At 32.7% G+C, this 13,939-nt stretch overlaps 1 long non-coding RNA gene across 1 annotated transcript; it reads left to right on the top strand.

Moving 5' to 3' along the window:
* Positions 1-2,036: 2,036 nt before the first annotated feature.
* LOC105377384 (uncharacterized) lies at positions 2,037-13,121 on the top strand. The gene is made up of 3 exons (XR_939097.3): positions 2,037-2,078; positions 10,918-10,996; positions 11,821-13,121. It is a non-coding gene; the product is annotated as an uncharacterized LOC105377384 (long non-coding RNA).
* Positions 13,122-13,939: the final 818 nt, after the last annotated feature.

The following is a 13,939-nucleotide window of genomic DNA, read 5'->3' on the forward strand; positions in this document are numbered from 1 at the left end:
TTCAGTGTTTCTTGACACTAGCAAATAGCAAACACCAATACATTTTAGGAATGTATAATTTTCCTTACCATTCTCTAACAAATCTTCAACATAATATATTTCCCTAAGTATAAATTCTGCTATTCCTATGTGGGCTATTTCTAGGTTTTATTTATGAATATTACTGCTACCAAGTCCTCGTACCTGTTGTTAAATAAAATTCATTGGAGGCATTGTTTTGGACTAAGCTCCTGCACTAGGCCCCAATAGATCAAAACAAAATGGAGTCACTCATGCTAAGTGCCATGTAATCAAACTGAAATTTTAAAGAAGCAGGAAAATCCCAAAGCGTCCTAAAAACAGGAGATTCACATCAACCAATATGAAAGGGCCCAGTCAACCTAAGCCAGCATGACTTGAAATCCTCTCTGCCTTAACTCTTACAAGGAAAGTAACCTGAAGTAACATGAGGTTAACAAATACACATTTTTTATTACTGTTTCCTTGTTTGTGCTCAAGTTACCTTACAAAATCAACTGTTCTGTCATGCCCAGCAAGGTACCTCTCTCTTTCTAGATGGAATGCTGTCTGCTTCATGGATCACTAATAAAAGCCAATTCAATCATTAAAATTAATTTGTTGAAATTTTGTCCTTTGGCATTGCATTCAATTAACATACATAAAACTTTTTGTTGGGTATTTACCTAGAATTAGAAGTGCTGGGAATTTTTTATGCATTTGTTTATCTTTTGTAGATACTGCCAAATAACTTTCCAAAGTAGGTGCATTAACTTACAATTACATCAGCAGTATATGGAAGTTTCAATTTTTTCACAATCGTGAGAACACTCAATATTATTTGCCTCTGTATTTTAGGTATTTTGATGCGTGTATATTACGATTGAAGTTTTTTGTGTAAAATTATTTGGATGCATTTAATTATCTTTAATTTTCTAAGATTGCCATCATATTTTCTATGCATATTTATGATTTTTTCATCTATTTTTCTCATTCTAATAAAACTGTTTTCTTTCTCTTTTCTAAATAAATTAGGTAGTACTTCCAGAAAATATTTGAGAAAAGTAGTTAAATGCTTGTCTTATTGCTGACTTTATAGAAAATGTTTCTACTGTTCAATCATTTTGTATACATCTACAAATATATACTTTTATATATTTATCATATCACATATATTTTATGTAACATTTTTAGAATGTTGAGTGAATGTAGTTTAATTCCTTTATTATATAGTCTTTTAAATTCAATTCACATGAACTATCACATGATTTTCACCAAATGCAGAAGTGACTATACAATTTTTTTTTCTTAGCCGTTAATGTGGAGTCCTAGCTTTTATACATTTATTATTCTTTAAATGTGAGGTTAGGTTGTGTTTCTAATATTTTATTTGGATATCATATAAATATAACTTAATGCAATTGATTCTTAGTATTTTTTTGCAAAACCTCGACCTTTTAAAAAAAATTCAAATCATATAGTAGATTCATAGCAAATAATTTGTTTTTCTTTTTTATGATTTAGAATAATTTCAAAATACACTTGAATTAAATAGTCCACATTTTTATTTAGATATAAAAGAAACAACGTATTTGAGGTTTCAAGTACTCTTAAAACATATTTAAATTATTTTTTCTTAAAGAAACCAAGAGAAGCATCCACAGTAAACATCTACCTCCAGAAGATGAATAAATAAACTAGAACAAAAACTGGATTCTTCTTTATATTTATTGAATAATTTAAAAGACATGATATTGATAGCATAGTTTTAATGTCATAATTTCAAACTCTGAAAATACTTTAATTTCACTACATACTTTAACTTACTTTTTCTACCTTTTTTTTTTTTTCCCCAGACAGAATCTTACTCTGTTACGCCCAGGCTGGAGTGCAGTGGCGTGATCTCAGCTCACTGCAAACTGTTTCCTGAGTAGTTGGAATTTCAGGCTCATGCCACAATGACTGGCTAATTTTTGTATTTTTAGCAGAGACCAAGTTTCCTCATGTTGGCCAGCCTGGTCTCAAACTTCTGGCCTCAAGTGATCTGCCCTCTTCAGCCTCCCAAAGTGGTGGGACTACAGGTGTGAGCCTAGCCAATTTTTTGCTATGTATTTTAAATGTCATGTTATTTTTTGCATGTGGTTGCCTGCTATATTTAACAGTCAATTTGTAATCTTGCTGTGTCTCTCTTCTCAATGGCCTATTATAGGATGCATCTATTGTTTGCTTTTACTAAAAATTCAGTGTGAAAGTCTATTTTAATATCATAGTTGACACAAATTTTTAACTATTTTTAGATTATATATTTTTTATTTTTTGTCTTTTATTGTTTTTGAGGTTAAGATAATTATTTATAAGAATAAATGTAACAATATTTAAAAAACATTCTTAAACCTGTCTTATATCAACATGAAAATAAATGACATTTTGGCCACCAAAAAGGAATTTAACATATTTTATATCTTTGATTTTAGGTCTCCTCTGTCTACTGAAGACAAAGTCTTAATTTCAAAAATCAAAGTGCAAAATATCTCTCATAACTTTGCCGGCTTCTAATCTCTAGTCTTACCTACTGCCTTTTCTCCATTTAATTACTTTTTTCCTACAGTCTAATTGAATTTCTTTTTCAACAAATTGTTTCTTTTCTTTAGACTTTTACATGTGTTATTTCCCCTTGAATTGGACAAAATATACAAGACTTCTTAAACTACTTTATGTATTCTTATATTTCTCAAATCCAGTTTAAATACTACATCCACTTGAAGGCCTTCTTTAACCTTTACTTTGATCTGACTGTCCTCCACTATGTTCCCATATTTTGATCTTATTTTTAAAAATCATTAATCACATTGTTTTGGTTTTGTTAAATTGTATAAAAATCCCTGATGGAAATTTAAAATTCTCTCAGACAAATCGTGAGTTGTACTTCTTTTCAACTCCACACTTAGTATCATTTTTTTTTTATTTCAGAAGGCTTTTAATAAATATGTATTATTTAGGAACATTTCTGACAGCTTTTCCCACATTTACTAACCTCATTATAATCCTTCTGCAGAAATGGATCTTAACCTAGAATCCTCAAACTTAAAAAAATATGGGAGCCATCAGCAAGTTCACAGGAAAATTTTTGGAAAATAAACTCTGTATCTGAAGAGAATGTCTCCTCATGTATCTGTAAAAAGAATCCATTACTCTAAAATATTCAGAAAGATCAGTATATATTTATTATGTAGAAACTGCTTTCAAGAGATTGATTGTTGAGGAATTTTTCCATGGAAATCATAAATGTATTTTCACTGGGTTCTACTGTAGTTGTGTAAACCAACAGGTCCTTCAACAAGAGTTCTTCAGAAATCATATACTTACGTAAAAGGAAAAAACATTACTTATGTAAAATAAACATAGTCTACTCTGTTTCAGTATATAACCTCACAATAAGAATTGATCTATATGCTAAGTAGGCTAATTCTTCAATATAATTTGGAAGTGTCATTGATGTATGCACATAAAACTCATATCACCAAGGTCCACTGAATACTAAGTGTATTAACATAGGCAAGAGGAAAGAATACCAGGTAGAATTATCTTTTACCCCCATGATCTTCCCCTTGGTTGAGCCTGACCTCATCCTCTGCATTAAAAGCTTATTTACAGTTCTCTCTCATAATGATGGTGGTGAGTCAAATAAAAGACAAGGAGCCAGAGTCCTCTGTCTGCAGTGCCACTATAATTCACCTGTAATTCACGTAGAGCTCTCACCTGCATCTTCACCTGCAACTTCTACATATAGTTTCCTTCTGTCTTGTTTACAAAACTCAGCTGTTTTATGCCTTTCTTACCTTCCTTTACATCAAATAACTCACATTTTGTTTTGTAAAGGCCAACATTTATTGTAACATTTCTTCTTGTGTTAGAGTTTTATTTGCATAGGTATTGTTTTTGTTAGTACTCTGGATAAAAAGTGCAATGAGTCCATTTCGATTTTTATTTGGAGATATATTTTTACAACGATTGTTTTCCACAGATGCATATATAGTGTTAGAGTGTGAACCTCTCTCTTTATATAATTTTAATAGGTTTGATTTAAAAGCTCTAGAACAAGTTTCATGAAGCAAATGTCACAAAATATATAATATAGTTTAAAATGTTTTTAAAATTACATACATACATTGATTTCCGGACATTATAATTTATTTATAACAACAAGTGATGGGTACTAAAATTTACTAAATATATGTAAACTCACTTAATAAACAACAAACGTGCTTGCTTGCTACTTTTCCATACATTAATCACATGGTCATGATACAAGGGAATTTGAGAATAACAAGGTAAAAATCACCAGAAATTCATTCTAATTGTTACAGAGTATTGACCCATCATATTTCATACATTAGAGAATGAAATTTTAATTTTACTTAATTTATGTTATTAGGTGTTTTATTTTTTAACAAGTTTAAGTTGTAGGATATAGGTTTTTAAAAGATAGGTGAAAAGCAAATACAGACTATGGCCACCAAATCAATAGACCTTTAAAAACCAATTAGTTCTTCAAATATATACCAAATGGACAAGGTACACATTAATATGAAAGTCATAAGTAAGAAAAGTAAATAGAAAAAGGAAAGTAATTGCTTTTCAGTGAAGCTTTAAAAAGAATAAACCAAAGCAGTCAGGAAGAAAATCCTGTGGCTTACAAAATGATTTGCCATTGCAACGGTTAATTTCTAGTTTATAATGGGTTTTATTTCCACACTTTTGCAGTAATACATTCATTTCATGCCCAATTTATACCAGAGTTGGCCAGAGAATCCCTTATAGAGATAAGGCAGTTATATTTCATCTTATCTTCTGAGCTATATCAGCATAACATTCTGTAACACTGGAAGATACTAACACAATGTACCAATAAAATGTAGGCAAGATCAGTTTTATCTCTCTAATGGAGAAAAGACTGTTGATTTAATAACACATGTAGCTTTCAATCTACTCAGCTAGCATAGCTGTATTGTGTTAGTCAGTTTGACTCATTTCTCAAAATTTTGAATGGCACTTGTTTTTGCTTATATACATCACTAAATTATTCAAAACTGATTATGTATATGGAAGTATACTTTAAAAAGTGGGACATTAGCAAGCAAACTTCACTTTTCTTTTTGATGTACTTCATTACATTTCAGCTTTTAAAGGGAGAAAAAAACTAAAAAGTATATAGCCAAAATATTTAAATTTTGTAATATCAAAATTGTAATAATTATACTAGGGAAAACATTTAATTTAGGAAAACAAAGCTTGCATGTGATAATAATCATATGAAATCTAGTTAGTATGTTTTGGTAATCTTGATTAACAAAAGTTTACATAAGCTTTTATAGAATGCAGGCATATTTGAGACTCCTACTGTCATTTTTTTAGTTACAAAGGGTAGATGAGAAATAATATTTTTTTATGAGAGTGTAGTACAGGAAGAACCTAATTGCTATTTTCATGAGAAGATGAAGGGAGTGTGAAAGTGAGAAGTTAAGAATGAGAGTTTGTTTGCCAAAAGACAGAGAGTCCAGAGCATGCAGTGAAATGAATTTAGAGAGAGGAGATAGGGAGGACTTGGTGAAGAGAAAAGGAAGAACACACAGCTATGGGCAGGAAAATACGAATATGGAAAAGATGGTAGTTAAAATTGGCAATGTGATTTTCTAAAGCATTATCACAGAGAGGTGGATTAGAATTCACTTAGGCTTTTCATAAACAGCAGCAGCGCTCTGGATGGTCTGCAGTCCTAACATATATTATTACCTTCTTAATTGAAGGACACCAGCCAATTCCGAAAGGAAGATCCTGGTTTGGATTAACTATATGTTTTAAAGGTGCAGTGAGGTCCAAGGTGGAACTCAAGAGTTCATTGTTACCTGCATTTATGCTCATAAAAAGTCAAGTAGAGGCATCTGTGACTGCCCACTGTGAGATGCTAAAGTCTAAGTTTGCAAGGCTGGGGAAGAGGGTGGGAAGTCGGGGAGTGGAAGGAGGTGTGGAAGTCAGGATGTTCCATAAAGGCAGGGAATATATGGACAGCCCAGCATAGGTTTTCAAAGACCAATCATAGGTATTCAGAACCCAAGAGGATAGAGAGGTGGCAACAGAAATGATGGGACATTGTTTACACATAGTGAGATTAAGCAATACTCATTTGAACTCCTTAAGTAAGCATATAATAGCAAGCAATAATAATCAAATGTCTCACTGTAGGAGAACAGAGTTAAAAATAAGAATCTTATGGATGTGATAGTACTCTGTTTCTTGGTCCAGGTTCTGATTACATTAAAGTGCAAGTGTTTCTGTGAATCTGAGTTTTCATTTCTCTGGGATAAATGTTTAAGAGAAGAATTACTGTCTTATAAGTGCATGTGTTACTAAGAAACTATCAAATATTTTCCAGAATGTCTATACTGTAATACAACCCCACTATCAATATATGAGGTACCCAGTTACTCTACATGCTTGCCAGTGTTATGACATTACCATATGGCTTTTTAAAAATTTTCAGTTATTCTAATAGATACGTAACAATATGTCATTATGGTTCTAATTTGCAGTTCCCCAGTAGCTAATGATGTTGAATATCATATATTTACCTCTCGTATGTATTTTCTTTAAAAAAAAAAGCCTGTTGGTGTATTTTGTACGTTTTCTAATTATATTGTTTGTTTTATTGATGAGTTTTGAAAGTAATTTGTATATTCTAGATACAAGACTTTCCTCAGTCATGTGGTTTGCCAGTATTTTATCCTAAGCTGTAGCTTACCTCTCTCTCTTTTTTTTTTTTTTTTTTTTTGAGACGGAGTTTCACCCTGTCACCCAGGCTGGAGTGCAATGGCACCAACTGGGGTCACTGCAACCTCTGCCTCCCGGGTTCAAAAGATTCTCCTGCCTCAGTTTCCTGAGTAGCTGGGATCAGGGGCCTGCCACCATGCCCAGCTATTTTTGTAATTTTAGTAAAGACATGGTTTAACCATATTGGCCAGGCTGGTCTCAAACTCCTGACTTTAAGTGATCTGCCCACCTCGGCCTCCCAAAGTGCTGGGATTACAGGCATAAGCCACCGCGCCTGGCCTGTAGCTTATCTCTTTATAGGATCTTGTGGAAATCAATAGATTTTAATTTTGATGAAGAACAACTTAACAATATCTTCCATAATAACTTTGCTTTTGGTTCTCATATCTTAACTTTTCTTAAAAATTATTTTCCTAAAAGTTTATAATTTTACATTTAAATCTAAAAATAATTTTGAATTAATTTGTGTATGTGGTCCTATGTTTATTTCTAAAAGTTTTGTAGCTTTAATTTTGCATTTAAATCCATGATCTATATTCAATTAACTTTTGTATACTGTATGACTTCAGTGTGAATCATAGGCTAAGGTTTTTTTCTTTTTTGGCCTATGAATGGCTAGTTAGTCCAGTACTCCAGCACCTATCCACATATTGTATTAAAAATTTACTAAGGGCCGGGAGCGGTGGCTCACGCCTATAATCCCAGCACTTTGGGAGGCCAAGAGGGGTGGATCACGAGATCGGATCAAGACCATTCTGGCTAACACGGTGAAACCCCGTCTCCACTAAAAATACAAAAAAAAAAAAAAAAAAAAAAAAATTAGCCAGGCGTGGTAGCAGGGGCCTATAGTCCCAGCTACTAGGGAGGCTGAGGCAGGCGAATGGCATGAACCCAGGAGGCGGAGCTTGCAGTGAGCTGAGATGGCGCCACTGCACTTCAGCCTGGGCGACAGAGCGAGACACCATCTCAAAAAAAAAAAAAAAAAAAATACTAAGAAAATTAATACCCTTTAATTCTGTGTTCATGTTCTATATTATTTGAACTCATTAGGAAAAAATTATACATTTTTCAGACAATATCTCCAATATTGGCATTTGCTAATTGTATGTATTTTCATTTTGAATCTGCATATATAACTAGTTTGTTTATTTTTCGTTGTATTCTTTTCCTGTAGAAATATTTGTTGTCATACTAGTTTGAAGATCTTAGGAATATAAAAAAATTAAAAAATCTATATTACAGGATATGCTTAAAAAGTCACTATCAAGTGAATAGGAAAAAGTAACCAATAATTTCAATATTGTAAAAAAAGTTGGATATAGATAATTACTAGAGCTCCACAATCTCAGAATCCATATTAGCTGAGGAACAGCAAAAAGAGGGTTCCAGAAATTTCAGGCTTCGTGTTCAACTCTGAGATCCACCTGGAGTCTGGTAACATATCTAAAACACATAGTGAATCCAAATCAGGATCTTCCTTTCAGAATTGGCTGGTGTCCTTCAATTAAGACGGCCGTAAAATATGCTAGGACTGCAGACCATCCAGAGCGCTGCTGCTATTCATGAAAAGCCTAAGTGAATTCTAATCCACCTGTCTGTGATAATGCTTTAGAAAATCACATTGCCAATTACAACTACCGTCTTTTCCATATTCGTATTTTCCTGCCCATAGCTGTTTGTTCTTCCTTTTGTCTTAACCAAGCCCTCCCTATCTTCTCTCTCTAAATTCATTTCACCGCATGTTCTGGACTTTCTGTCCTTTGGTAAACAAACTCTCATTCCTAACTTCTCATTTTCACATTTCCTTCATCTTCTGTGACAATGGCAATTAAGTTCTTCCTGTCTTGCACTCTCATGGGAAGGCTAATTTTCTCGTACACAGTTTTTAACTAAAAATTGAAAGCTGGAGTCTCACAGATATGCTTGATCTCCAATGCTGCCTTTATATCTGTCCTGTTCCTTCTCTTTTAAAATAGCCTTGCTTCTTTCTTTAAGACATGCCACCCAGCTACATCACCCTTCTATATCTTCTTCTCATTATTAAGTAAACATGCATCCAGTTACTACAGAATTTAAAACGTATATGATGTCTTGCTCTCCCCTTAAATATTTCACCACATTTGTTCTGACTTCAAATTCATGTGGAATTTCCAATGGTACATGGCAACTTAGTGACTGAAAAATATGATATTCAGTGAATTTCCCTTTATATCCATTCTCATGGTTACATTTGTACTTCTAATAGCGTGAATTCCTACATCACATCTCTGCAATATTATGTTGTTTTTGCACCCAATTATTCTAATTTAATTACCTCCACTATATATCTTATTTGGCCTATTGAGAATTCCAATTCTGAAGTGGACAACTTGGTTTCTCTCTTTTTTAAAAACTCTATATCTGATCTACCTGTATCTATTTTACAGCTTACACTTTAGTTTTGCTTTGTTTTTCTCTTATTTATCAATTTCTTCTTTGTTTTTTGGCGTTCCTACTAGGCTGCATGTGTTATCACGCAAGCTCTGTCATCAAAAACTTAACCATATTCCCTATCGTCCGTTTTTTTTTTTAACTCTTCTGGATAAACCCTAGTCTTGGGAAACTCCAAATGATCATCCTCTCTCCCAGTCTGAGGCTCCTGAATATTGCCGTAGTAAATTGTACAACCTTTAGATTGTGGCCACCATAAATTTAAGTGTTCAACTTCATGTTTGCCCTCAATATTGCAGAACAACCTTCCATTTCCTTCATCACCTCCCTTTCTCATTTATCACAACAGTTATTTCAAAAGTTTCCAATCGCTTTAAACTTCTGACCCTACAAACTCTCCTCTATACTCAGCAGATAAACTCACTTTCCACTTACTGAGAAAACAGGCACCAATTTTCTGCCATTAGACCTATAAATTTACTTGTATTGCCACTGCTAAATCTGTTTTCTATCGTTGGGCTTTCACTCACGTGCTGGATATCATCATTCTCCTAGCAATTTAGGGAATTTTAATTTTTACTTGCACCATTTTATCTTATTTAAAATTACCACCTCTTACTGTGTAAGCATGAGCACAAACTCAAATTGCTTTCCATCATAACTAAATGCAATGCATGCTTATCAATTATACTCCAGATTGGGAGAAAAAGTGAAATAAAAGGCATTATTGGGATAATTCATAAAATTTGCATATGAACTATATATGTTAATAGTTTTCTCTATCAGCAGTAACTTCACTGAATTTGATAATTGCATAGTAGTTATTTAGGGGAATGCCCTTTTGTTTAAGAAAATAAATGGAAGCATTTATAAGTGAAGAGAAACTAAAAGATTCAGAAATCTAGATAAAAAGTATACAGATATTGTGTCTATTGTTAGCATTCCACTATATATTTCACATTATTTTCAAATGGAGACTTAAAAAGTTAATCTATCTTGACCCATGTTACTCTCTGTCTTTCTTCTTCATCATGGCCAGACTTAATAATTGGTTTGTCTATATTTGCTATTTCATCACTTACTTTTCATGTTGTTGTAATATAGATTTTATCACCAGGGTTCTATTGAAACTTAACAATTATTACCTTATTGATATACTCTGCCTCAATTATTATTCGATCTATAAGTTGATTATCAGAGCAGCAAATGGTGAATTTGCTGCTTTTCAAGTCAAGGAAAAGCACAAGAAAAATCATGCTTATTTAATGGTTTCCAATACATGAGACAGTTAAAGAAATCTGTGTTAGAGTTCTCTGGGGAAACAACCAATAGGGGTGTGTGTGGGCGGGGGGGGAGGGGGTGGTGTACAGAGAGAGAGAGACTTATTTTAAATAATTGGTTCCTGTGACTATGTGGGGTGGCAAATATAAAATCTGCAGACCAGGTTAGAACGATGGAGACATAGGAGAGAATTGATGTGTTGTGAGTTCAAAGGCAATCTGGAGGCAGAATTTCTTCTTTCATAGGGGACTGAAGGCTTTCTCCCCCAATACCCTCAGTTTAAGGATGAAGATGAGACCCACCCACATTATGGAGAGTAATCTGCTTTACTCAAACTTTACTGACTTAAATGTTAATCACATCTAAAAAATTCCTTCACAGCAACATCTAAACTGGTATTTGACCAAACATCTGGGCATCATAGCCTAGCCAAGTTGAAACAAAAAATTCCATCGCAAAGGTAAGAGTTTATATCTAATCTTGTGGGAAAGATATTTTATTTTAGGTAGATTTGAGGGGATGAGAATGACTTCAATATGTATTTGTACCACTACAATAAATAAAAGCCCAAGCATTTCTTTCATGAATTGTTATTTTCAGTTTTGGGTTAAAGTGTTTTTTTCTTATCTTACTAAATTTCTGAAGATTAACACATTTTCAGTTTGGTATATGTAATTTTATATCAGTATTCAGTGTATAGGGAATTAGCAACTTATTTTCACTTCTCCAGTGGGAAAAATTAAATGTTCTATACAGTATCAGGTGATAATTAACATAAATCCAGTAGAATTACATTATTTCCATTTGATTCCCATTTTTGAAATAAAAAATTTCTTATAGTTTCTGACTTAAATGCTTTGTTCTTATTGAAATTCTAACAGGTTATGTTTAAAAACTGCTACATATTTAAGTTAAATTCACTCAAGTTATCAATGTACCAATTTAATAGGAATAAGTCTTTTAAATTACATTTTTACTAGCAGGAAAGCAAGAGCCATCAACCAGAAAAATGACATTCTAATAATACGTAAACAATAGACTTAGAAAAATATCAAACAATTGTAACTATGTTAAGATCAGTTTTAAATTCCCAGTTTAAAAAAATGAAAAATAAATGCATAATACTTAGCAAAAATTTTAAGATGTTCAAGAAAGTTTATGCTCTCTTGGCAATTTTCATTTTTAGAAAACAAATAATTCTCAATTATGGATGTAATCATCAAATAATTTATTTTCTCTCCTTTTCATCATCTTTATTATTAAAATGGAGCTTTTATTTTGCAGATGCTGATGCTGTATGAGAGGTTAGGAGATTTAAACTCCACTCTAATGGAAATGACCCATGGAGATAGGTGCTGAAGTTTTTGGTCTCAATAGCTGTCTCTAGGCTAAAATGTCTTAGCTCTACGTTGCCGTTCTTTGAGATACTAGTGTCTTGTGTTTATAGATTAAATAGCTTGGCTGTATAAGTACTGACCAAAAACGTATTAGCTTTTCCATAGACTCTGAATATAAAATACATTTAGCGACTGCTTCAGTGTTCACATAGAAGTAAAGTTATTTTTAAATTAACCTTTGTATGTTTTTCCAGCCTTAATGTCTTTATATGAGTTCAAGATGATGAACAGTCTTGGTATAACGTGAAATCATTTGTGAATTTGGATAAGAGCAGTATATGCCTATTCAAAAATATTATTCTAGGTATCTATTATATAACATGGTTACAGTATAAAGCTTTTTGTTGTTACTCTATACAGCTAAAACTCATGAAATACTCAATTACAGTTGTTAGTTAAATCAACAAAAGCACTCTAGAAACACTGCCAATTAGCTTGCTCAGATAAGTTTTAATTTGCATGTAAAGGATGTTAGTTAAATGTCAATTGCTTCCTCAAGATGAATTATTGCTATTTCTCTGTAGTTAACTCGAAAACATGTTGCAAGAATTTTGAGAGAATTTTGTTTAGACAGTAAGTCAACTGCATCTATTCAACCTCTTTTTTTTAGATTTAGCAAAGTGAGCCAATAATTGTGTCTTTTATTAAATTTTAATCAAATATTTAATTGCAATTTTATGTTATTGTGAAAACATATGGCATATGATCTAGTATTCAGATTAGTATTAATAACTACATTTTTGTTGCTGATTTTCAAATATTTGTTACATGTAGAAAAAAATGGGATTTCTGTCTGCCTAATGACATTTTTTGAGTTAGTAAACATTTTATTAGAAACAAATACTGAAAATTTCCATAGTACAAGGAGGGTAAAATGTTCATTGTCTTCTTGAAAGGTCTAGACAGAAATCCTAAGACTACAGATTAATATCATACAATTGAAGATGTTTAAAACTATGTGATCTCTAGCATTGTTCTGTGTTTTGAATATAATTATCCTGTGTACATTGATCTTGCAAGCTGAAATAGTAATAATATTAGAAAAGCCAATCAATAATTATATTAAAATCTGAGATTTGCTAAGATGAAGATGTAAAGTTCTCTGGTCTGTTATAATTGTAAATCACTCTTTATACATTTTTATTATACTTATACCCACCTCTGTTACAGAAACCACATTTTTTTTCCCTTCAACCCCTTGGCTTGTGGTTAATTGGTGCTTGATTGTTTATTTATTTATTTATTTTGAGATGGAGTCTCGCTCTGTTGCCCAGGCTGGAGTGCAGTGGCGCGATCTCGGCTAACTGCAAGCTCCGCCTTACGGGTTCATGCCATTCTCCTGCCTCAGCCTCCCGAGTAGCTGGGACTACAGGGGCCCGCCACCATGTCTGGCTAATTTTTTGTATTTTTAGTAGAAATGGGGTTTCACCGTGTTACCTAGGATGATCTCAATCTCCTGACCTCGTGATCCGCCCACCTTGGCCTCCCAAAGTGCTAGGATTACAGGCGTGAGCCACTGCACCCGGCCTGGTGCTTGATCTTTATAGCTGAAAAGAATAGTGAAATATTTTTCTCTTCCACAAAAATACTTCTGAATATTGCTTTCAAAAACAAACTTTCACAAAACTAGTTTTTGCCTCCTACCGTTGTTAATTGATTCAACAAGTACTTATTGAACACAAATGAGGTCAAAATCTATTATGGCATCTATTAAAAACTGTTATTGGCTAATATCCACAGGACAAAAAGATAAAAAATAAAGTGTTTTAAAAAATTCTGCCCTATCTATTGCATTTTCTGACCTGGATTTTGTGTTGGTGTATGTAAATATATATGTATTTATTAACAGCGACACTTCACTAAATGAATTTGGAGTGCTTATAAACTTAGGAGTGCAAATTCCAAAATTGTGTTATATTCATTTAGCAACAACAAAAAACAGCACACTAGTTCTAGTTTTGGAGGAACCAGATGCAGTTTCTAATACAAATTTTATATTGAAAAAT

The sequence above is a fragment of the Homo sapiens genome, chromosome 4 (assembly GCF_000001405.40).
Source record: "Homo sapiens chromosome 4, GRCh38.p14 Primary Assembly".
NCBI lineage: Eukaryota > Metazoa > Chordata > Mammalia > Primates > Hominidae > Homo > Homo sapiens.